The sequence below is a fragment of the Homo sapiens genome, chromosome 2 (genome assembly GCF_000001405.40).
Source record: "Homo sapiens chromosome 2, GRCh38.p14 Primary Assembly".
Classification (NCBI taxonomy): Eukaryota; Metazoa; Chordata; class Mammalia; order Primates; family Hominidae; genus Homo; species Homo sapiens.
Window position 1 is genome coordinate 155,400,158 of NC_000002.12, and position 25,915 is coordinate 155,426,072.

Consider the following 25,915-nt stretch of genomic DNA (forward strand, 5'->3'; position numbering starts at 1 on the left):
TTAGGATATAGTGGTTTCCTTAGCTTATTTGGCTATGTAACCTATGTTCCTGGGAAACTTGAAAGTTACTTTGTGAATCAACCAAGTAATTTACCATTGTCTAATTCTAATGGCCTAGAAAGCATTTTATCATTTCATCTGTTAAACAGAATGATTTTAGGGCCTCCCTTCTGGATCTAAATGACTTAGCTCCTACAAAAACAATTCCCTAGTAGTGAAGAAAATGTTAATATTATGGGAAATCAATTATCATTGTACTTATATGTCAATGGTGATGTATTTTTGTTCTATGAGTAACATTAATTGAAGATATGGGTATAACTGAACTCATGAAAGAAAAAGGATCTTTTCAGAAGGCAGCAGCATAAAAAAATAACTTGAGTACTAACATCTACAGAATTGTTGAAATTAGCAATGAAGGAAAGAGACCACAAGATATGCAAAACTGAACTAATTTTCAGAAGAGCAATAAATGTCCTTATATCTTATCTGAATTGTACTTGAAGTATAAGAAAAAGCAACCAGGCTTTCTCAGGTTAGTCAGCATTACGAAGATAAGACAGGAATTATAAAGAACACAGTAAGTATAAACAATAAACTGTTGTGTCATGATTTAAAAGCAAATGTATAGCATTTAACTTATTACCTTATTGAAGTTATATATACTTTTACATATTCAGTTTAAATTTAGAAAGCTGCTTCATGCTAAATTGTTATGCAATTTATAGCTGATAAAATATGTTTTTAAGTGTTAAAATTTGGACCTCAGCCCCTAGTGTTATTTATTTGTAATATAAATCAACATGATTTTTATCACTTTGGCTTACATTATTTTTTTCAAGCATTATAACCCACCATTAGGTATGAGAGCTGTAGTCAACCTGTGAAAAACTAACACTGATGAAATGAAAAGAAAAATAATGGACATAGAGAGAATTTGTTTTAATTTGAGCAGGGCCTCTTTCCAATGTTTATTCAGGAAAACATTAGGAAAAAAAAAAGCAATGTTTGAAATGTCTTAAACACAAGAAGATTAGGCTTTCAGTGGCAATTGTTATCTGCGTGTGGGCTGCAACAATTAGGCATTGATTTCTGCTATTTCTGAAATTGCATTGCAGCTATCTCCTTCTCTTTTTTTTATTTCGAAAGACAGATGTTAACTTAGCTTTAAAGAAATCACCCTATTTCCAAGTGCTGTACACTGCCTTTGTTACTAAGCATTCCCAAGTGATTATAAATAATTTTAAGTTATGTTTTAGTCTATTTGAGGCTCTGGGACTAAAATGTCAAATTAGAAAGAGAAATATGGGCCAAGTATCTTCCCTTGTGTCTTCTCCAATAAAGTACCCTAAAATTGAGGATCCTCAAATGTTTGAGTCAGAATCCAAAAAGCTTGAGCAAAGACACTGAAATTTTATCAATGCTGATTGACATTTTTCACATATTGAAGGCAGTATCAAGATATCCCATGAAGAAAATAAGTATATAATCTTGTACATGCAAAATACCAACATAAGCATTCCAGTAACTTTATTATTGCAATAGGTGATTGACACAGTTGGTATAAATAGTGAGTGAGTATGTAGGCAAAGGAAGAGTTGATTTGATTGACAACCTCCAGGCTTGAAGCATTTTACAACTATGCATCTGGTGTTGCAATAACTTTGTGAAAGGAAAGACACACAGGAAATCACTTCTCTCAGGTTAAGTTTATAGCCTTAACATTTTGAGTTTTATTAAATACTTTATGCTATGGTTTAATATCTGTCCCCTCCAAAACTCATGTGAAATTTAACCCCCAATGTGGCAGTATTGAGAAGTGAGGCCTTTTAAGAGGTGATTGAGTCATGAGGGTTCTGCCCTCAAGAGTGAATTAATTCATTCATAGATTAATAGATTGATGGATTAATTGGTTAATGGATTAGTGAGTTATCATGGGATTGGGACTGGAAGTTTTATAAGAAGAGGAACAGAGACCTGAGCTTCCATGCTCAAGCCTCTCGTCATGTGATACTCTGTGCTACCTGGCTATTCTGCAGAGTCCCGACCAGCAAGAAGACTTTCACCAGATGTGACCTCCTGATGTTGAACTTCTCAGTCTCCATAACTGTAAGAAATAAATGGCTTTTATGTGTAAATAACTCTTTTCCAGGTATTCTGTTATAAGCAACAGAAAATGACTAAGACACTTTAAAAATATAATTTTAAAAAATATATACAAATCCATTTTGTGTACTTCCAATTTATGGAAGTTTGGCCATTGAAGTATATAGGTATTAAATATACAAATATTATGTGTGTGTTTGTGCCCATATGTCTATATTCATATGTAGGTACACATGCATGTATTCATCACCATCTAACTAGCATCTATCTACATTTTCTTGCTTCTCTTCTAGTTAGTTCTGATCTTCTCACTATGTTTAGTCAATACAAGTGTGGTAGAAATGTTTGTTGTATTTCTGTTTCTTCAAAAGAAAGATGTTACAATCTTCTGTCTCCTTTCTCCATGGTTGTACTTGGAACACAGCATGAATTTAGGACTTCTTTCAGTAGTCATTCTGTGCCATATGGATATAAACCAATGACTTAGAGGGAAGGTCCTCAGAATGCCTTCAGGCTGGGAGGCATATAGGAAGCAGTCAGTTTTTACAGGAATTGTGTGAATCTCTAGAGTGGGCTGAAAGGACAGGCCAGGACACTGACAGGGACTTAGGTCTCTGATGTTTTGTGAATTACCAAATGTGGCCTGGACTGTCTACCTGTAGATTTAATTTACATTAAAGAGAAACAAATTCTGATCTTTTTAAAGGAATTATCTTAATGTTTCAAACACTAAATTGTTGGATCCTTAGGCTTCTTTTTACACCTTCTTTACAGAAAAAAAGGAAGAAAAGAGTCCTTTTATTTTAGAGATGCATACTAATTCATGAAATGATATAAAGTTGAGTATTTTCTCAAGGAAAATTTAGTGTGAATGCTGAGTATGTAGTAGTGAAGGAGATATGGAAGGATGAAGTAAGATTGGTGTGTATTGATTCTTGGAGCTGGGGGATATGTATGTAAGGGATATGAAGGTCCTTCATACTGTTTTTTCTACATGTTTGAAAGTTTCAATAATAAAAACTGAGAGGATGTACTGAAAACATCCAGAAATGGGGCATGTTTGGGGAGAAAGGAAGGGGAAGATAAAAAGAGAAGGCAACAAACACAACACAGAGAGAGAGAGAGAGAGAGAGAGAGAATGAATGCCAGAAGACACAGGCAGAGAGAAGTAGAAATAAAAATGGAATACAAATTGCATCAGACTTTTCAAAAGTAACCTTATTGATAGTTTACTGTGAAGAAATTCCTTTAAAATTATGAAAGAAATGTAACTCAGAATTTTATATTTGGTTGTCAAACAAATGTAAGAATAGAATTGAGGCTTACTTTTAAAAAAAAAACAAGGTCCTCTTTTTCTTGGCAAGTATTGGAGAATCTTCTTTTGAAAATGAAAAGTAAACCAAGGGAAAGACATCAGATTCAAGAAACAGAGGAGCCAACATAGAGCAAGAAAAAGGCAGTATGAAGATGACAGCGATGGTCTGCATCTAAAATTCAACCAGGCCAGATTAGATGTCAAAGCAAGTGGGAGACTATGAAGCGGGAAAAACATAACTGATAGATTAGCTAATATCAATATCAATATCGATATCAAATTGAGCTTTCAAAAAGTATTTGTGGTCATTGAAAAATCTGCTGGAGCATTTTTTTAAAATAGTAAAATATTTAGAACATTAAGTAAAATTGAGGTAGAAAAATAGGGTCTGGAGGCAGGGAACATAAGGCCAATTCATACTTCAGCTATAGCAGGAAATATCCTCTCCATAGGATGTTTGCCATAAATGACTTTATAACTTTACTTCATCCTCTCCATTTACATAAGGCATACCCAAGAAACAAATGGAATCCTCCAGCGGGTATCTAAACTCCCAAAAAATCTGAAACAGGGCCTTTGATCACCTATGCTCAGGCCCACTCTCAAACTGTGGAGTGTACTTTCATTTTCAATAAAACCCTTTGTTCCTTCCTTGTTTTGTTTGTGCATTTTGTCCTGTTCTTCAAGATGCCAAGAACATGGACACCTTCTACCAGTGACATATTTTGGTGAGCCAGCCAGGAGGAAGAGGTAAGCCCAAAATTTGGGATTTATTTTTCTCCCTTTCTGCTCCATACAGTGGCTCTATCTCTCTCTTTTCCTTTCCAACTTGGGACCTGTTAAATACAGTAAGAAGTTCTTCTTCAAAGGTTTAGCTAGTTTAGTTTCCTTGTTCTTTTTTCTCTACTTTCAAGGCCAAACTTCCTTGCTCTCTGTGCCTCCCTGTCTTGGTTTCAGTAAACAACTCTCCCCCTCTGGTCTTTATCTACAGAGCCCATATCTGCTACTCACTCTGTAAATTACCCCTCCCTTCACAACACCTCTTCCCGCCAAACCTGTCCTTCCTGCCAGTGTAACCACATTCCTGCACTTTTCAAGTTAGCCAACTGGGTTCAGCTTAGATTGTGCAGTCCAACTCCAACCAGTGGAGGCAGGACACAGTAGCAGGGACAAGCCACATTAGGGATAAAAATCCCTTCCCTCCTTTGTTTGGGATGCTATCATGGCGACCAGACCTGTGAGATGCACCCTTCTGCAGAAGTAAATTTGCCTTGCTGAGAAATCCTTTGTTTAAGTGCTTGTTTTCTTTGTGACTCTGAGCTTTACTTCCAGCAGGACGCTTGGTGGGCAGCACCTAAACATGGAAGCAACTGCAGGTTTCTGGCCATGGCCAGTGAAAGTAAGGTGTTTCCATGTGGACAAGCCTGACCACCACCACCCAGTTCACTTAAGGGACCAGGGTGTTTTTCATTTTTATTTTCTTCTATTTCTTTTTCAGTCTTTCAGCAGCCGTTTATTAGTAGCTCCTTGGAAACTGAGGGCAATTGGCTGGGGTCACTTCCTGGTACTGCCTGAAGGTTTAGGAATGAAATGGAATAATTGCCCCCCCAAAGGGAGAAGGGTCTTTTTTTTTTCAATCTTTTCTACTTGCACAAGGTCCCTGATCCTTAAGTGTGGTGCAACTCAGAGCAAACTCTCACATGTTTCAGGCAACTTAAACCTTCTTTTCATATGCTAAATTCTTCCCTTATTGTACTCAACTGGCTAAGGTATAAAAGGCCAACCTGGCATCCAGTTCACATTACAGTTCATGGCTGTTCTTATAAAGCTCATAGTATGTTCTGGAGGGAAAACCCTGCATGTGGTGCCCACCTAAAGCCAGAGACATCTGGAACTCTAAGATTGAACCCCACAAGAGGATGCTCTGTGGGTTCTGTGGACCCCAACCACTCCAAAGAGGATGCTCTTGGCAGAGTTTCTGAGGTCTAATATTAAGCTCTCCTTAGAATTTTATATTGCAGTTGCAATGCTGCTTGGCCCCAACATTGTTTGAAATCTGGAGTTCACTCTTGAATGGGAAAGTGGACTGGCTTTGCATGTACCCAGGCTTTCATGCTGCATTTCTAAGCAGGGGGCCTGGTTGACATGTGATGTCCTCCTTTGGTACTGTTTGGCCCCAGGTCTCTTTAGAGTCTGGGGAGGTTTGGCCTTTAAAAATCAAACTGCCATGGAGACTGCTTTACCAGAAATTTTGGTTCTCAGCTTTCACTGGATTGTCTACTGGCACAAAGCAAAGCCGGCAAGCTTGTATTGCTATCTCATGGCTAACGTTCCAAGCTATTGGATCTTCATTTATGTGTGATTGTACATGTCTAGATGTGTTTATTTGTATGTACACTTATTGTTATATGTTGTATCTACCAAATTGGCTTATAAGTAAAAGAGAACTCATAAATTAAGTAAATAAGTCTAAGCAATTTTCAAGTTCACATGACTTAAAGTATAACCACTAAACAAGCTACCTTTAAAATTATTGGTAGAATAAAAATAGAAATGCCTTCAGAATTGTAAGCATGCATTTTTTCTAAATTTTATGTTTGTTTTTGCTAGATATTTTTAAATGTCAGTGTTAATTCAAGCTGGGAGCTGCTTGGGGCTAGCCTGCCCCCCATTCTATCCAAAGTCTCACTGAGATATATGCGTATCTGATTGCTTCCTTTAGAAAGGCTAATCAGAAACTCAAAAGAAGGCAAACTCAAAAGAAGGTGTCCCACCTGTGATCTGAAAGCCCCCAAAGCCTCCTGGCCTGGAGTTTTCCCTTGTTTCTGGACCAAACCAATGTTCATTTTATATATGTTGATTGATGTCTCAAGTTTCCCTTGTTAAAAAATTGGCTGGGCACGGTGGCTCACACCTTAATCCCAGCACTTTGGGAGGCTGAGGCCGGCAGATCACTTGAGTTCAGGAGTTTGTGACCAGCCAACAAGGTGAAACTCCGTCTCTACTAAAAATACAAAAAGCAAATTAGCTGAACATGGTGTTGGGCGCTTATAAGTAATCCCAGCTACTTGGGAGGCTGAGGTAGGAGAATCACTTGAACCCAGGAGGCAGATGTTGCAGTGAGCTGAGATCACGCCACTGCACTCCATCCTGAACAACAGAGTGAGACTCTGTCTCAAAAAAAAAAAAAAAAAAAGTAAAAAATTAAGTACAATGAATAGGACAATTGTTCTGGGTAAACTTTTTGTGTAAGTTGTCATTTCCAATTAAGCAAGGGTTGTAATACAGGGAAGTGTGTTTCTAAAATTGTGAAATTGTTCTTATCTATAAATGCCCATATCTGATAGTTCAGTATTTCTTGCTTTTTAGGGTTTTACTAAAGTTCTAGGTTTCTAGGTAACATGTAATTCTGTATACAAAATGTTCCACAAAGGGTTATGTTACTGGTGAAAAAAAAAAAGAAAAATTTTGTCTAATTCAGAAGTTGTCTAAAAGTTAGTTCAAATTACAGATTTGAAAAGGTTATTTATGCAACAATGTAGTAAGGAACCATTAAGTAGGGGAGAAAGATGTGGAAAAGCTTAATAATAAAATATTCTTTAAAACCTGATAGAGAATTGAAAACATTTGGCTAATTAACATTTTCATAGTTAAACCTCTTAGTCTTGATTAAAGTAAAAAGTATTGTAAAAATGCTTTGGGAGTTTGGCAATTCTTTTTAAAATATAGTTAAACATGAAGCTGAATTTAGTGTGGAACCAAATTTCACATACAATGCTTGCATTGTTTCACATGGTGTTTACTGTTATGCATGGATAGTACTGGAGTACTTATTGGTCATGTGTCTAAAGTGGATTTCTTGATTGCACAGAATGTATAATGATATTGGTCAACTTAAGGATATTGAATTGTGTATCAGGAATAAAATATTCAGTATGTGGGTTTTCTAGGGCCCTAGGTAACACTGTAGCCTCCAGGGTAAATTGAGTAGGAAAATTTAGGGTTGGTTTTTTGTTCATTTGTTCCTGCTTCTAATTTTCATTTGTTTGCTGTTTATTCTCCTCTAGCTTTGCTTGTTTATCCATATATTTGAAACCATGATGCTTTTTAGTTTCTAGTGGGAGGCTTTTATTTGGTTCTGTGAATAGTTATTTTGTTTCCTGTGCATTTCTAGCAAGTCATCATTCATTCCATTTATTTGGAATTCCTAAGCTACCCTTGTCAGGCTGCAGAATTAATGGAACACACTAGTTTTTTTATCCTTAAACTAACTTTTTGGATTTTAGGCTTCCAGATACTTTAAGTGTGTTGAGTATACTCTTACAAATAAATTTCGAGTCATATTTGTCTCTCTGCCTAGTTTTCTCCAAAATTTATAAACCTTCTATGAATATTCTGAATTAATGGCAAAGTGTCTGTTTGCATACAGTCAAGTAGAGTTACCACAGCTGCTCAGGGAGAGAGAACCCAGAAACCTGACATGCCGGCAAAAGGGTAAGAATTTCTTACCAGTCAATCTCTGGCCTCTTTCTCTCTGTGCAAACTGTTAATCTCCTCTGTAAAGTTTTAAAGTAATTGCTTTAATAATAATAAGAGTTTAAATCAAATATTTTGTCAGAAAAGTGAAAAACTTAATGCTTTTTATTTAGTTCATGTGACTTGAGTAATCTTTGGGAAATAAAGATGGTTTTAAATATTATTGATAAAATACAATTGTCTTCAAAATGTAAACATGTGATCTAAGTTATGTTCAAATATTAGCTTTGCTAAATGCTTTACGGACATAAACTGCTTCTTTGGCTTTAGAAAATTGTTTAACTTGCCTGCTTTTCAGCTAGGTAAGGGCTGGGGACATGTGGAGTTAGCCATGCCTCTAGCTATGCTGGAATAGTCAAACCTTATGGGAACATAACTTACTAGGTTTTACATTAAAGTTAAATTGCTAAGAGTCACCATTGTATCATGCAGTTAAGACTCCTAGAAACAGTTTTACAAGCAAGGTATGTAAAAACCATAGAATGTGTTTTTGTTGTTGTTGTTGTTGTTGTTTTTATAAAAGGTTATAAAAGCTTTTTATTTCTTTAAAATTTCTCAGTCACTATTTTGGCAAAGTAATTAATATGGTAATCTGGAATTCCAAAACCAAACTTCAGTTTCAAAATTATTTTTCCTAATGTCTGGCTTTCTGGATGGGTCAGAGGGCCCCTGAAAACATCCAGAAAAGAGTTAAACAATTATTTGACTTGTTTAGTTAAATAGGATTACCAAAATGATGTTCAATCTTCTTTAGGTTATATTTTTGTAAGTAATACTAATATATGTTCCAAAATTGTATAGGATTTCTAAAATTCTAATGTCTGAGTAATGAGCCATCAATTATTTTTAACATTTAACATGGTTATCATGCTAACCATTTTAACCATTTAACATGGTTATATTCTAAACCACAGAAATAACCAAATTTTCTTGTATAAAGCTACTAACCCAAGTAAAACAAAAGTTAATTAAATATCAAGAAAATACTTTCATGCTAAACCAGGTAATACTGAAATTGTTTAAAATAGTTTATATCCAATGCTTGATCTCATATTCTTGGGAAAACAATTAAAGCTTCAGACATATTTGGTCAATAGCTCCACCATTTAAACATTTTATAAAGGGATTTCATGTAATTGTCACTTTCAATGCATGTTTTCTGGTTGTATAAAAGCTTTCCCATGCAAGAGGGCTGATGTGATAAGAGTAGATTATTATGCTACAGTGTATTTTCACCAGGTTAAAAACAAAACAAAAAAAAAGCTTATGGTTTGAATCTTGTGGAAACATCAGAGAAAGACTGTCCTTGCCATCCGCACTACAACAAAACTTCAGGACCTTGAAATTTGAGTTCATAATCTCACAACTGAGAAAGGTCCCTCCATGCCCTTGGAGCTGTGCACCCATTGGAAACCTTAAGGTAAAACTAACCAGGGAAATTTCCCCCAAGAAGAGAATGGCATTCTTGAAATGAACAGCGTTTCCCAAGTTCACAAATTAAGACTTCTATTTTCATGAAACTCTTACCTTTGAATATTGTTTCTTGCTTATGCCTCTAAGAACATTAGAAGTGGAAAAGGGGTCTGCTATGTGCACTAATGGGGTATACTTTTATTTATTAAGGAGTTTGCAGCTGGCCTTATATATAGCTAATCTTATACTTTGATATAAAAGATGAAGGCCCAACGCAGGTAAGAAACTTTAATGGTACACATGTTGCCTCATAATCAGTCAAAAACAAAGCATTGGTTTACTTCCCTTAATCCACATCATGGATTAAAGAGAACATTGCCAAAAGGCCTTCACTCTTCTAAAAGGGCGTCATTTGTTAGGTCCATTTTCCATGGTTTAAAATTAAGCAATGATTAGAAATGTATCCCTTATGATAGGCTCTATAGCAAATTATATTGCAAAGTTACAATATAATTACACAACAGACTTTAAATTCTCTTGTGAAAGTTATGATAAATAATAGAATTGGCTGAACAGAGAAGTAACTGTGCAGCTGCTGGCACTTGTGGCCTATGGAGAAATACATCAAATGAAGATTATAGAAATTCCGTTGTAGGGGATTAACAAGGAGACTGCTTAGTTAAATGAGTAAACTCTATCTAGCTCATTCTTTGTTCTATTTGATTCTAGGAGGTTTAGTTTATGGGGTGTAAGGAGCATACTCCAAACTCTTGGTATTATTCTCCCAATAGTCAAAACAATAGTCTACCTGGTGCACTGTATTATCTCAAATGTTTTAAATGCTTGCATGCAGCCATCTCTAGAATGTCATAGGTCTCTCTTCAACTGGAAGAACAGGAGCTGAAAGAAATGTGCAACCATGAGGACTCTGTAACCTATACATGAGGCGCTGAGGCCAGACACCAAAAATGATGATGATAACTGTTAGTGGTGCTAAGGCCCTAAGTTTTGGTCACACTCTCACCTAAGTGAGAACCTGACCAAAAAGCCAGATTTTTTAAACAAAATTCTGGGAGGCCATTGTTTTGGACTAAGCTCATGCACTAGGCCCCAACAAACCAAGCCAAACCAAAATAGAGTCACTTGTGCTAAGACTTTAAGGAAACACATAGATTCTAGAACAAATCAGGTTTTGTTTTTTCTCCTGCAAATCTCTGTAACAAACATTTATGACAGCATAGGTATCCACCCACTGAAATCCCCATTAAATCTTTTAACCAAACTCACTTCCTTTCGCCTAGAGACCATCAAGCTTCAGATGATCATGCAACAAAGGTTCCAGCCAGTTGCAGGTGAAGACACCACCTCCAGCAGTAAAGAAGCTACCCCACCTCCACTAGACAGAGCAGAGTGAGTTCCGTGATCCCCAGTAGTTAGGGACTATGCCCCAAGCTAGCAAGAAGCAGTTACAGAAAAAAGACCATCAGTCCATCTGTCTCCCAGAAAGATTTATGGGGATCACATCTCTCGGGGGAGAGACGAGGCAGGAAAATAGGGTCTGGAAGCAGGGAACGTAAGGCCAATTCACACTTTAGCTATAACAGAAAATATCCTCTCCATAGGGTGTACGCCATAAATGAATTTGTAACTTTACTTCGTCTTCTCCATTTACATAGGATGTACCCAAAGTAATGAATGGAATCCTCTAGGGGGTATTTAAACTCCCCAAAATTCTTGAATGGTGCCTTTGAGCCCATTTGCTCAGGCCTGCTCCCACACTGTGGAGTCTACTTTCATTTTCATTGAAACCCTTCATTCCTTCCTTGCTTTGTTTGTGCATTTTGTCCAATTCTTTGTTCAGGACGCCAAGAACCTGGACACTTTCTACCAATAACAAAATCAAAAACAATGCCATTATTAATCCAACAAAAACAAAGTAATTCTGAAAGAGTATTATTCTTCACTTAGAAACGTACAACATACATTGCCAGAAAATGCAAATGTTGACTTGCTTTAACCCCAAGTTAATTCAATTGAAAAAATAATAAAGGAAAATAGTGCAACTATCAAAAGGTAAATTTGATTAGTTATTTTTAATTTGACAAGTTGTACATTCATTATTTAATAATATAGAAGTGAAGTTTATAATTAAGAGCCAAATGAGCAGAGCTGAAAATTAGAGAGAGGTGGGGCAAATAATGTTCTTTTTTCAACATAAACTTTTAAGTACTATTTGAGTTACTTTGATAAATTGGTTATATATATATGTATACATATATGTATATATGTGTATATATGTATACATATATGTATATATGTGTATATATGTATACATATATGTATATATGTGTATATATGTATACATATATGTATATATGTGTATATATGTATACATATATGTATATATGTGTATATATGTATACATATATGTATATATGTGTATATATGTATACATATATGTATATATGTGTATATATGTATACATATATGTATATATGTGTATATATGTATACATATATGTATACATGTGTACATGTGTATACATATATGTATACATGTGTACATGTGTATACATATATGTATACATGTGTACATGTGTATACATATATGTATATATGTGTATACATATATGTATATATGTGTATATATGTATACATATATGTATATAAGTGTATATATGTGTATATGTATATAAGTGTATATATGTGTATATGTATATAAGTGTATATATGTGTATATGTATATAAGTGTATATATGTGTATATATGTATACATATATGTATATATGTGTATATATGTGTATATGTATATAAGTGTATATATGTGTATATATGTATACATATATATGTGTATATATGTATACATATATGTATATATGTGTATATATGTATACATATATGTAAATATGTGTATATATGTGTATATGTATATAAGTGTATATATGTGTATATATGTACATATGTATACATATATTTAAAGTGATTAATATCAAATATATATATCTGTATCCAAATATAACTATATGTAATTTTGTACATATATATGTGGACACATATGCACAGGTTCATACACATAAACACATATACAGAAACACACATGTTTACAAACATACACCAATGCTGAAAGGTATATACTTTTCACTGTTGGAATTGTTATTTATGATGGTTTTGTTTCTATAACACCCAGCCAGGCTGGCAGCTGCTGTTTGAATTTGCAGAAGTGAAAGTTCATCATGATATGGATCTTCTTTGTGCTGCCCTCAGTCATTTGTGTGGCCCTTTTAGTTATGCAAATATGGGGCAAGTAAAAACTCATTGTCCTGAGATTAGGATATAACAAAACTTTTTTTTTTTTTTCTCATGTGATTTAGCAAGAAACACCCCTATGCAGAGCTCAGAGTTAGATAGAGACTGAATCTATTTGCATAGTAACTCTCGAGACATTCTTGTCCAGGGACCAAGCAAGAAATTGCAAGTCTCAAATAAAAGTTTTGTTGATGAGAAGAAAAATCTAGACAAGTTATTTACCCTTAATATCCTAAGAGTTTGTTGGTTGGAACTGATTTTGGCCCTGTTTATGGCTAATGCTAGAAGCTCTTCCAGATTACTGGCCCACGGGTAACAATGTTAGAACTTAAAAAAAGAGTTAGCTAAAATGAACTATTAATATAACCTTGGTGCTCAGCTTGAAATCATAATTGGGAGTTCCAAATTGTGAAACAATGTTATACCAGCAGTGTTAACAAATGCCACCCATTGATGTGTGCAGAATGAATCTCCAAAAGCTCCCTTGTGTGGCTGCAAGAAATAACAGCAGCGGTGAACCAATTAAGATTCTACTTCTTGGGCTAGGAACAGTGGCTCACACCTGTAATCCCAGCACTTTGGGAGGCAAAGCCAGGAAGATCACTTGAGGCCAGGAGTTCGAGACCAGCCTGGCAAACATGAAGAAAACCTGTCTCTACTAAAAATACAAAAAAATTAGCCGAGTGTGGTGGCGGGCACCTGTAATCCTAGTTATTGAGGAGGCTAAGGCACAAGATTCAGTTGAACCTGGGAGGTGGATGTTGCGGCAAGGCAAGATAGCGCCAATGCAGTCCAGCCTGGGCAACAGAGTGAGACTCTGCCTCAAAAAAAAAAAAAAAAAAAAGAAAGAAAAAGAAAAAAGGAAGAAGATAGATTCTACTTCTCTCAGTCTGGCAATCAGAAAAGAGAAAAAAATTCTTTCCCTCTACCATGAATAACTGATAGGGTCTTTGCTCAACTTGAGGTGGTAGAGAGGCCTCAAGAAAACGATTGTGAAATTTCTGCTAACAGGCATTGTGGGAATAGAAGTTAACAGAAACAAATGAAAATTAATTGAAAAAATAAATGATATGAGTGCATGTGTAATTTGATAGGGTAGATTCCATTATTTACATATATGAAAACGTATAGTCATTCATTCCTTTGTTCTTTATGTCAATTTATCCTATATAGCTACCACTTTAGCAACTCAAGTATATAGACATTCCATGGATATTGTTCTTGTTCCAAGTCATAAATTTCTGAAATGTCTTCCTTAATACCACTGACTCTCCTTTCTTCTAATGACAATAGTCAATCTTGGATCCTCTTTCTAACTCAGAGTCAGCAATTTTTTTCTATAAAGGGTCAAATAGTAAACATTTTATGCTTTTTATCTATAAGGTGTCCGTTGCAACCACTCAACCTTCCATTTTAGCAGAAAAACAGCCATAGATAATTGTAAATAACTAGGCATAGCTGTGTTCCAAGGAAATTTTAATTAAAAAACAGATGTCTGGTCACATCAGATTTGGCCTGTGAACCGCTGTTTGTAAGACGTAAAAGGCTCATAGGAAATTTTCTTCCAAGCCTGGAAGGAGCATATCTTACTGTCACCCATATACCACTGGCCAGAAATCCCAATTGCAGGAGAAACTGAGAAATGTACTCTTCTCGTGTGTCCCAAAGTAGGAAACAGGATTAGAGGGCATCCAGCCAGTCACTGCCACTAAATTTAGTTGAAACTGCTTATCTACAGTGTCATTATTTCTAAAGATAATTTGGGGACCTATAACTATTTGAAATTTGTAATAACCTCTGGTGTTTGTGGACATAATTTTTTGTTTTATTCAACAGAAATTAAACTTAGTATCTTCCTAAGATACAAGCATGATATAAAGCACCTTTTTTTTTTTTTTTGAGATGGGTTCTCACTCTGTCACCCAAGTTGGAGTGCAGTGGAACAATTTCAGCTCACTGCAGCCTCTGTCTCCCAGGTTCAAGAAATCTGAGTCAACATAAAATAATTTAAACTCAAGACTTCAAAAATATTAAAAAAACAAAACAAATCTATAAGAAAGTTGGAAGTTTCAAAACAAGATTAGCAAAAAATAGGAAGGTTCTTTATGACTAAGATTTTCTCGGGGAAGATGGGCAGCAAGGATGCTGATTAACACTTCTATTACCAACACCAAAGATTCCAAGGTCAAACAAATAATAAAGAAAAGAGAAAGACAACAACAGATAAGAAAATTAAATCTCTGCCTTCTTGTGACCATTATTTTAATAATTACTAGAGTATTAATTAAGCTCTTGTGTCTGGGGACCACATTACATAGATTGATAGAAAAGCTTACGTATCATGGGAAAAAAGTTCTAATCCTTAGTTCACCTTAAACTCTCCTGTATACATCTGGATCCTGCATGTGCTCATTTGGATCAAAAGATGTCGCAGCTTAAAAGAGTGTGTGTTACATCCTGAATAGCAGCTGTAGATGTCTGAGATCTATTCTAGTTAGGCAGCTTCCCTCAAAAATAAAACATGGGATGAGAGCTTCTCACCACGCACTCATTAAAAGGTAAACTTTCTTGGGCTGAGAGTCACGTCAATCATCGTTTTCCTGCGAACCCAAAGCTGCCTTTTTCTCTGTTAGAAGCTGTTATCATCTTCAAAGCCATATCAAAACAGTGTTTGTTCTGTGCTTTGATTTCACCCACATGGTGAATTCAAAGAAGACTTGAGAGTGCAAAGAGACTATTTCAGATGTTTGAGCATTTGTCTCTCCATGTTTGTAAACGTGATTTAAGTGCCTGATGTCTAATAAAACCCTTTAAATGTAGTGGAATTTTTTTTTATCAAAACATTCCACCTTCTGTGTTTCAAATGTATGTATTCCTGAGATCTTCTAATCTTAAATATAAAACCCCTTAAGGTTTGTGTAATGGCAATATAATGGTAATTCACCTCAGAGTTAATTTTCCTTTTTACCCTGATGCAGTCCAACACAAACAAAAAAGCTCTTTATGAATGACAATTTCTAAATATCTGGCACAAATAACCAATTTTTCTTTGGGAAAAGAAAAGTCATTAGGAACATAATGTTATAAGGTGCATTTTGCACTGAGGATATTTGACACCATTCACCAGAGATAAACAGATGTATGTGATTTACATATGAAAACCTATCAGATAATGCAAAAATTTGTATGTGAAATGCTTCATTCACTGAATTAGCCTATGGTAATCTCTCATTATATGAAAAAGAAAACGATTACTAAAAATGTCTAAATAAATATTAATGTGGTTATATTGTTTTTAAATACATAAAATATTTAAATAGAACAACATGCAGGGAGAATCATTTAAAGGTACAGTTGCTATTTTTACTTTAAAGAGCAAATAAAGAAGATACAAAATTAAATTTGGTGATGAGCTGAAAAACATGATTTCAAAACATGGTCTCTTGTTGGATCATTTTAAATGATGGGAAAGAAGAAAAAACTGATAAACAAATGAACATGCTAAACATGAGAAACATTTTATTTCTTGACTGAGTTAAAGCAATTGTGAATATGCTCAAATTTTGATAACAATGTTCCTTCTCTGCTGAGGTCAGAATGGTACCAAGTTTTTGGTAGATAGTGATTCTGTCTTTTAAATACATTTTTCCCTTTTCCAGTAGCTAGCAACATTTTTACGTGTTTAAAAAAATCAGATAGCACAAAAACTGAAATAGTTTTGAACAAAGCATTTCATTCACAACAAATTCCTCAAAAGAAAAGTACAATTTGCCAATATGATATCATTTATTATGTCCTAAATGAAGGCATTGCCCTCTAGCTATTTACTAACCATGTAAGTGGTAGAGCAAAGATGACACAGGATTTTTCTCAGTAACGTTGCCAGCTGGAGACCTCTGACCGGTGACGCCCCTGCCCAGGCAGATGGTGGAACATTTACAACTCTGTCAACCCCATTGCCCCACTCCAGCCCACGACTCTGGGGCTGTCTTGGCCCTGCTGCTGTTTCCCATCATGTGGGGCAGCTTCCTTCCACTGGTAGAGAGCAGAGGACCACAGTGTTACTGCCCTCTTTATACCCACATTTGGTGGGTCCCAAACTCTTGTCCCACATCCAAGAAGAATGAAGAAATGCTGACAGTTGAAGGGTGAGGAGGGTGGAGAAGAATTTTATTGAGCAACAAAACAGCTCTCAGTGGAGAGGGCATGTGAGGGTAGTCCCCACCTGAAGTTGGGTGGATTCTCTCCCAGTGTGGCTGGATCCAGGGTTTTTATGGGCTCAGAATGGGGGTGCATGCTGATTGGTTTGTGAGTATGCAAAAAAAAAAAAGCTAAAACAAAAGCACCACTCAAAGGTGGGTACAACAGTGTAGCAAACCAATTAGGGAAGGATAGGTGTATGTAAAATAGGTGAAGGGTGGGGATCAATCAGAGGAAAACATGCCAAACAGGAAGAGAGGTTCTCAATCTGGTCCATGAACTTACCCAAGATTTGTAGCTTGGCTTCCAACTGTCCTTGACTTGAAGGTGGGATTTCACTGGGGACCCTCCCATCTCTGCCTAGGGGTTTTCTGCCTCCTGTTGCTATCAAAGACACGTAGGAAGCAAATTAGAATGGTAAATGTATTATAAAAAAGTAACAGTTATTATTGATAAATTGTCCATATTTTTAAGAGATGCACAGCAAAAGATGTCAGGTGAGAGATAATCTCTGGGATTTGTTTTATGTAACTCACCAAAAACGAACACGGCAGAAATCAAGAGAGAGAAAGTAATAGTGAGAGAGCCACAACTGTAGGAGTTAGAGAATAATCGCAGCAAAATTTTGATTAAAGGCTGAATCTGGTAACAGGTAAAGAGATCTTCATTTACCCTCCTCTCTACTTTGGTGCTCTTTGAAACTTTCATGTAACAAAATGTTTTTTAAAAGTTGTACTATCATCTGTCAGATGTACTAAAGTATATAGTTAGTATATCCCTTCAATTATTTGAAAGAGAAGTGTTGTTCAGCCTGGTTCGTAAACATCTCTTTAGAAGTAAAGTCTATAACCTTTACTGTGCCATGTTTTATTTATTTATTTATTTTTTGAGATGGAGTTTCACTCTTGTTGCCCAGGCTGGAGTGCAATGGCATGATCTCCGCTCACCACAACCTCTGCCTCCCAGGTTCAAGCGATTCTCCTGCCTCAGCCTCGTGATAAACTGGGACTACAGGCATGCGCCACCACACCCAGCTAATTTTGTGTTTTTATTAGAGACAAGGTTTCTCCATGTGCTCAGGCTGGTCTCAAACTCCTGACCTCAGGTGATCCACCCACCTCAGCCTCCCAAAGTGCTGGGATTACAGGCTTGAGTCACCACCCCCAGCCAGTGTACCACATATTTTTACGATGGACAATAAACTAGTAATGCTGATGAAAGCACTGTGGGGTTTCTTAAATTTGCTCTACACTGCCCTGCCCCTCCCCCACTTCCCTCCTCCCTCAGTAAAAATAGGCTATAATGATGTGTAAATTAGCCAAGTCTCCGCCTTACCCTTGATTTAATACTGTTTTATTAATGTATGCGAGTAAGAGAGGAGGAAGGCCTATACTTATGTATACAGATGTGGGAGCAGAGACTCATTATTTCCTTAGATAATCTCTTTATATATAAAAAGTTGCCTTCTCTCAACATTGACTAGCAAAGATATCCATTCTCCTTTATTTGCTAGGCATATATATATGTAAAAATCATTAATGATTTTATTTTGGATTATATCCAAATTTGTCATATCTGTTACTTTATTGTGTTTGGAAGTACTATTTCAATTGTAAGATCGTATTAAGTATCAACTCTAGGATTGCTTTTCCCAAACTTAAAGCCCTTTTATGACCATAAATAGGTTATAGAAGAGTCAGTAATGCCTCTTGGTTCTTAAATATTGACTCCTGTAAGATGTCATTAATCTGTACTAATTGGAGGAAGCTTAATCTCAATTAAGAAAAAAAGTGTAAAGGTATATTATTTTAAAAAGGAACAGAGTTCTATTATTTCAAGTACGTACATTAACTCACATTAAACTAACAAAGTGTTATCCAATACACATCCTTGACTTGATTTAATGGTTTGTAATTAGCATATCAATTGTGTGGAAATAGATCCTTCTAAAGTGCTTGAGGGTGCTTAGAAAGTTTGTTCTACTAAGTATTTTCAAGGATCCTCTTGCAATCTTATTTACATTATTAATTTACTCTCTTTAAAAAGAAAGAAATGTATCAAGGCAAAAATAACATTCCTGGCAGCTTATGGTCAACTAATGAATTCTGTATTAGTGAAATACAAATTGTTAGTTTTGTCTGTTATTTATACCCTAATTATCATCTCAAAATTTTGCTCAAGTTTGATGTATTTTTCTCCATCTGTAAAGGTGATTTACTAATGGTATAGAAGATATCTCATACTGAATCTGTTATTTTCCTAGTAGAATGGCTTTATGTGATTTCCTTGCAAGCAGCGCATATTATTTGAGAGATGGTTAGTCATTAGATGACATATCATTATATAAAATACCAGAGATACTGAAAAACAGGGAACTGTATTTGAATTCTGCCCTTCCAAAGAATTTATATTAATGCCTGTTACATTGTCTGGTGTATTAAGTTAATACATATATATTGGAAAACTAATACACTTTTAGTTTCCAGACCAGAAAAAACTCATGAATCATTTTCTATCATGCTTGTATTTGCTAATCTGTCATTCAATGTAGTATACGTTCTTTTTAATTTTATTTTGTACTTCATTCTACTTAAAAAAAAAAAATTCAGCTGGGCGCGGTGGCTCATGCCTGTAATCCCAGCACTTTGGGAGGCTGACGCGGGCAGATCACGAGGTCAGGAGCTCGAGACCAGCCTGACCAACAGGTGAAACACCAACTCTACTAAAAATACAAAAAAAAAAAAAAAAAAAAAACAAATTAGCTGGGGGTGGTGGCAGGTGCCTGTAATCCCAGCTACTCAGGAGGCTGAGGCAGGAGAATCACCTGAACCCGGGAGGCGGAGGTTGCAATGAGACAAGCTCGCACCACTGCACTCCAGCCTGGGCAACAGAGCGAGACTCAGTCTCAAAAAGTAAATAAATAAATAAATAGTTCAAGTAGTTTTAAATATAAACTAGAAGGTTAAAGTCAGCTAATTCTCAATAAGTGAGAGAAAGAAGTAAAACTGGATTTCAACATTGGAAGGAAGATTTTCGTTTACATCTATTAACTTCTTTGAGGTAAGGCAGGTTTAACTTAATTATTTATGAGCCTTTCTTAATAAGCATCTAACATCAATCTTGGCTTCTCAATAACGACAGATACTATAGCCATAGAATTGCCAGTTCTTTGGATTTACAGCCTTTGTTTAGAGTTTTTCTTAAGTTTTGCATGATTACCCTCTTTCAAACTGTCTATTCTTATTCTCTCCTCATCGACTAATGAGAATAATTGATGGTTGTCTTCTATCACCTCTTTATGTATTTGTAGATAAATATCATATTATCCCTTTAGTATACTCATTTGACAGACGTGCCCTGTTCTTTTAACCTTTCCTCATAGTTCTTATTTTTCAAACATTTCATCAACCCTTTCTTCTGAACTCTTCAGTTTGTCCATGTTTTTTCCCAAATGTGTCACTACTGTATATATATTTATGTGCATGTGTGTGATAATGATAAGGTAAGTACCGTTTAATCTGCGCTTTCTTTCCAGTGAATATGATTATGTGTATTCATATATTTGTTATTCTTTTAGTTTCTTTTATGCTAATTTGTTTTCCTGTTTGAAACATTTATATTCAGGTTAACAAATTTAGTTATGGAAATATTGAGCAATAAATAAGTATAAAGTGTGGTAGATCCAAACTTTATATCTTTTTTGCTCTTCTGACCTACTTACAAGTAGAAAAACACTAATTTTGGACAAAATACTTATATGTAGAATTTTTCCTGTTTTGAATTTATATGTTAACAACTGATGGAATTAGATGATCCTTATTTAGCTCTTCACTGCCATAGAGCAATTCTCAGCACTTTTAAATAATTTATTGAATGTTTTGTTGCAGAGCTTCTGTGTTCTCAAAATTACATAAATCATATAATTGAGAGAAGAGATGCATGAATTTAGTTTTTCTAAAGAAAATGTATATGCCTATTGTATAACACGAAGGTGTCATGGCAATATGATACTAACAACAATTTTACTGAGTAGTTAAGCAAAGAAAAAAATCAAATGTCTTCTTACTTTGCACTTCTTACATTTATTTTGATTGCACACGTTTGAGAATGAAGTTTGAGACCAAAAACATTCCTTTACCAAAATAATATGTTCTGATTAAGTGGGGAGAAATACAATTATAATTGATGCTCAGCTTCATTTTAATACACATGACCCCTCCCTGCAAAAGAAAAAGTATTGATATTTCAAAATATGTTGCTTCTTTCCTGAAATAACTCAAAAACCCCAAAACAAAATTTCTTTAAGAAATATTGACCCTCTGACAATTGAGGCAATTTATAATGATCCCTCCAAGTGTTTATGGAGAGAATTTTGGAATCAATATTATGATGAATAAGGAACCGTGTAAATCAGCTTATGTTTTGGAATACCTATACAGACAGTGGTTGGAGAACATGGTTCTTCAAGTTACAGATTCAGGTTCTTTTTTGCCCTCAAATGTTTGTTTAAATTCATGTCTTAAAAACTGAAATTGCTAAAATGATTGTTTTATCCATCTGTATTATACCTAGTGGGTTATGTTAAAATATAAATATTCAAAAAGGTAAATATGACTCTTGGCTTAGTCCATTGAGCTGCTTTAACAAAATACAGATGGACTTACGATGGCATTACATTTCAATAAACTTATAAGTTGAAAAAATCATGCTAAAATGCATTTAATACACTTACCAAACATTATATCTTAGCCTGCTACCGTTAAATGTGCTCAGAAAACTTGTACTAGCTTATAGTTGAGCAAAATTATCTAAAGCAAAGCCTTTTAAAAAATAATACAGTATTAAATGTCTCATGTAATTTTTGAACACTTTACTAAAAGTAAAAAACAGAACAGTTATATGAGTACTCATATTTAGTAAGGTTTCTACAGAATGCATATCTCTTTGCACAATCGTAAAGTCAAAAATTTAAGTCAAACTATTGTAAATCAGAGCTCATCTCACCATAAACTGGGTATTTTATAAACAACAGAAGTTTATTTCTCAGAGTTCTGGAAGTTGGGAAGTTTAAGATCAAGATTCAGTGACTGGTAAGAATGTGCTTTCTCAAAAATGGCACCTTTTTGCTGTGTTCTCACATGGTGGAAAGGGCAAGGCAGTTCTTTGGGGTCTTTTTCATTAAGGTGCTAATCCCATTCTTAAGGGCTCCTTTATGTCCTAATCACCTCCCCAAAAGTCCTACCTTCTAATACCATCACCTTGGAAGTTGGATTTCAACATACAATTTTGGGGGGACCCTCATATTTAGACCATAGCAACTCTCATACAAATATAAATTTAGCACAAAAAAAACAGACTTTAGTCAACTCCTTAATTAATGAAGGAACCAGTAAGCTATTAAAAGAAGTTCAAAGATTTTGAGGATTATATGTGTGTGCATGCATGTGTGTAAGATCAGAAACACTAACGGATGCAAAACTGATTAATATTTTAAGGGTCTATTAAATGTAGTGTTTGGGGTCATAATTTTTTAATGTGTTAGTTTTTCTGTATTTTAATATTGTTTTATTTAATTGACAAATAATAATTGTACATATTCACAGGGCAGAAAGTGATGTTTGATGCACAAATGTATAGCGATCAGATCAGGATAATTGGCCATATCCACAATTTCAAACATTTATCATTTCTTTGCTTTTGGAACATTCAATATCTCCCTGTTAACTACTTGAAACTTTGTATTTATTGTTAACTATACTCATCCTACGGTGGCATAGAACACTAGAACTTATTCCTCCTATCTAGTTGTAATTTCATATCCTTTAACAAATCTTTCTTATTCCTTGTTTTCTCCTAGTAGAACGCTTGTAGTTTCGTCTGTTCTACTTTTTCCTTCCATGAGATCAACATTTTTTAGCTTTCAGGTAAAAGCAAGAACATGCAATTTTTGACCTCTTGTTTATGGCTTATTTCACTAAATGTAATGTTCTCCAATTCCATGCATTTTGCCACAATTGAAAGAATTTCATTATTTCTTTTAATGACTGACTTGTATTTCATAATGTATATTTACCAATTTCTTTATTCATTTATTTGTTTTTGAACACCTAGGTTGATGCCATCTCTTGGCTATTGTGAATAGTGTTGCAATAAACATGGAGGTGCAAATGTGTCTTTAATATAATGATTTCCTTTCCTTTGAATAGATTTCCAGTAGTGGGATTGCTGGGTCATATGGTATTTCTATTTGTAATTTTTTGAGAAACCTCCATATTGTTCTTCATAGTAGCTATACTAGTTTACATTCCCATCAACAGTGTCTAAGAGTTCCCTTTTCTCGCTATCCTTGCCAGAATTTGCTATTTTTGGTCTTTTTGATAATACCAATTCATTCTAGCTGAGGTGAGATGATACCTCATTGTGGTTTTGATTTGCATTTCCTTGAATATTAGTGATGTTTAGCATTTTTAAAATATATTTATTGGCCATTTATATATTTTGTTGAGAAATGTGTGTTCAGATCACTTGCCCATTTTTTAATCGGAGATTTTTTGCTGTTGAAATGTTTGAATTATTTGTACGTTCTGGACATTAATGCCCTGGTAAATGAGTAGTTTAAAAATATTTTTTTCCCATTCAAGACTTTGTCTTTTCACTCTGTTGATTATTTCCTTTGCTGTGCAGAAGCTTTTTAGTTTGACATAATTCCATTTGTTTATTTTTGCTTTTGTTGCCTGTGTTTTCGAGGTCTTATTCATAAAATCTTTTCCCAGACCAATGTCCTGAAGTGTTTCCAATATATTTTTGTCTGTTAGTTTGAGCATTTCAGGTCTTATAGTTAGGTATTTGATCCATTTTGAGTTGTTTTTTTGTATAGGGTTAGAAGTGGGAGTCTAATTTCATTGTTTTGCGTATAGTTATCCTCTTTTCCCAGAAGCATTCATTGAAGAGACTGTCTTTGCCCCAGTGAATGCTGTTGGCACTTTTGTCAAAAATCAGTTAGATGGAGATATTTGGATTAATTTCTGGGTTTGCTATCCTGTTTCACTGGTCTGTATGTCTATTTTTATGTCAGTGTGTAGCTGTGGGTTACTTCAGCTTTGCAGTATATTTTGAAGTCTGGTAGTGTGACACCTTCAGCTTTGTTCTTTTCACTGAGAATTGCTTTGGCTCTTTGGGGTCTTTTGTGACTCCACAAAAATTTTAGACAGTTTATTTTATTTCCGTGAAGAATGTTATTGGTATTTCATAAGGCTTATCTTGAATCTGTAGGCTGCTTTGGGTAGTATTGCCATTTTAATGGTATTATTTCTTCAGATCCATAGGAAGAGCATGGGATGTCTTTCCATTTGTTTGTACCCTCTTTAATTTATTTAATCAGTGTTTTGTAGTTTTTCCTATAGAGATTTTTGCCTCTTTTGTTAAATATATTCCTAGTTATTTTATTATTTGTGTAGCTATTATAGACAGAATTCCTTCTTGATTTCTTTTTTAGCTAGTTCATTGTTCATATGTAGAAGCATTACTGACTTTTGTTTATTAATCTTATATTCTGCAACTTGACTGAACTTGTTTATCAGTTTCGAGAGTAATTTGGTAGGGTCCTTAGGATTTTCATATAGAAGATCATGTTGTCTATAAAGAGGGAAAATTTGACTTCCTCTTTTTCAGTTTGGATGCATTTTACTTTTTTCTCTTGCGTAATTGTTCTGGTTAGGACTTCCAGTACTAAGTTAAGTAACAGTGGTAAAAGTGGCATCCTTGCCTTGTTCAGATTCTGAAAGCTTTTTCCCCATTCAGTAAGATATTAGGTGTTGATTTGTCATACATGACATTTTTTACATTGAGGTACTTTTCTTCTATAGTTAATTCATTAAAAGTTTTTATCATGAAAGATGTTGAATTTTATTAAAAGCCTTTTCTGCATCTATTGAGATGATCAATGTGAAGGTTTTTGTCCTTCATCTCAGTGATGTTATGTATGTCATTTATTGACTTGCATATGTTGAACCATCCTTTCATTGATTGTCTTTTCAGTATGTTGTTGGATTTTGTTTGCTAGTATTTCGTTGAGGCTTTCTGCATCTATTTTTATCATGTTGTGTTCATTCTGGCCTTGTAGAATGAGTTAGGAAGAATTTCCTCTGCTTCAATATTTTGGAATAGTTTAAGAAGAATTGGTATTAATTCTTCTTTAAAAGTTTGGTACAATTCAGCCTGTGAAGCCATCCAGTCCAGAACTTTTCTTTGTTGGCAGACTTTTTATTACTGCTTCAATATCATTACATGTTACTGGCCTGTGCAGGTTTTCCATTTCTTCCTGGTTGTACATTGTGTGTATCCAGGAATGCAATCCATTTCCTTTAGGTTTTCAAATTTATTGGCATATAGTTGTTAATAATAGTCTCTAATGATCCTTTATATTACTGTGATATCCATTGTAATGTTTCTTTTTTGTTTGTTTCTGATTTTATTTATTTGGGTCTTCTCTCTTAGTCTAGTTAACTTTTACAGGATAGAAATCAATTGTATCGCTCTTGGACAAAATTCATTTGCATTTCTATAGATAAAAATTACTTGCATTACTATCAGTTTCCTACAACTTGATTTGTGGAGCTGGCCCCACAGAGATATAAACTAACCTAGTTAATAGAAAGATGATCAAAAGTACACATATATAGAGCCATATAATTCCCAGAGAATTCAATAGCAAATGCCAAGTGCTCCACTGAAAGGACACCCAGTACTTTTTTTCTTCTTTTCTTCTTTTGCCTATTTTCTTACCCTGGACAATGTTTCAGGCAGTTGTCATATACATAATAGGACTATGCAAAATAATTCTATGTTTAATAATCCCCATCCACTCCTTTTCTGAAAACTTTTCTTCATTTAAAGTGGAAAGTAGTTTGGCATAAGATTTCAGAACCAGAGGCGTTTTGTATGATTCTATATTGTTTTTTCTTGCTCTCTCTCTGTGTCATTTTTTTCTTTTTGCTGTTCTCACAATAAAATTATGTTGAGCAAATTACTCTTTATGACT

General features: G+C 34.8%; 1 long non-coding RNA gene across 1 annotated transcript in view, besides 1 other annotated feature; it reads left to right on the forward strand.

Moving 5' to 3' along the window:
* LOC105373699 (uncharacterized) overlaps positions 1-17,829 on the forward strand; it is a 54,578-nt gene extending 36,749 nt beyond the window's left edge. The window contains exons 2-4 of the long non-coding RNA XR_923496.2: positions 4,109-4,171; positions 10,672-10,780; positions 17,792-17,829. This is a non-coding gene — a long non-coding RNA (uncharacterized LOC105373699). The remainder of the gene's footprint in view (positions 1-4,108; positions 4,172-10,671; positions 10,781-17,791) is intronic.
* Positions 12,359-12,875: an enhancer, noted in NCBI's record as "NANOG hESC enhancer chr2:156269028-156269544 (GRCh37/hg19 assembly coordinates)". NCBI's record gives its function as "activates a minimal SCP1, AML or CMV promoter by ChIP-STARR-seq in naive H9 embryonic stem cells {active_cell/tissue: H9 hESC(naive)}" and the evidence as "EXISTENCE:reporter gene assay evidence [ECO:0000049][PMID:30033119]".
* Positions 17,830-25,915: the final 8,086 nt, after the last annotated feature.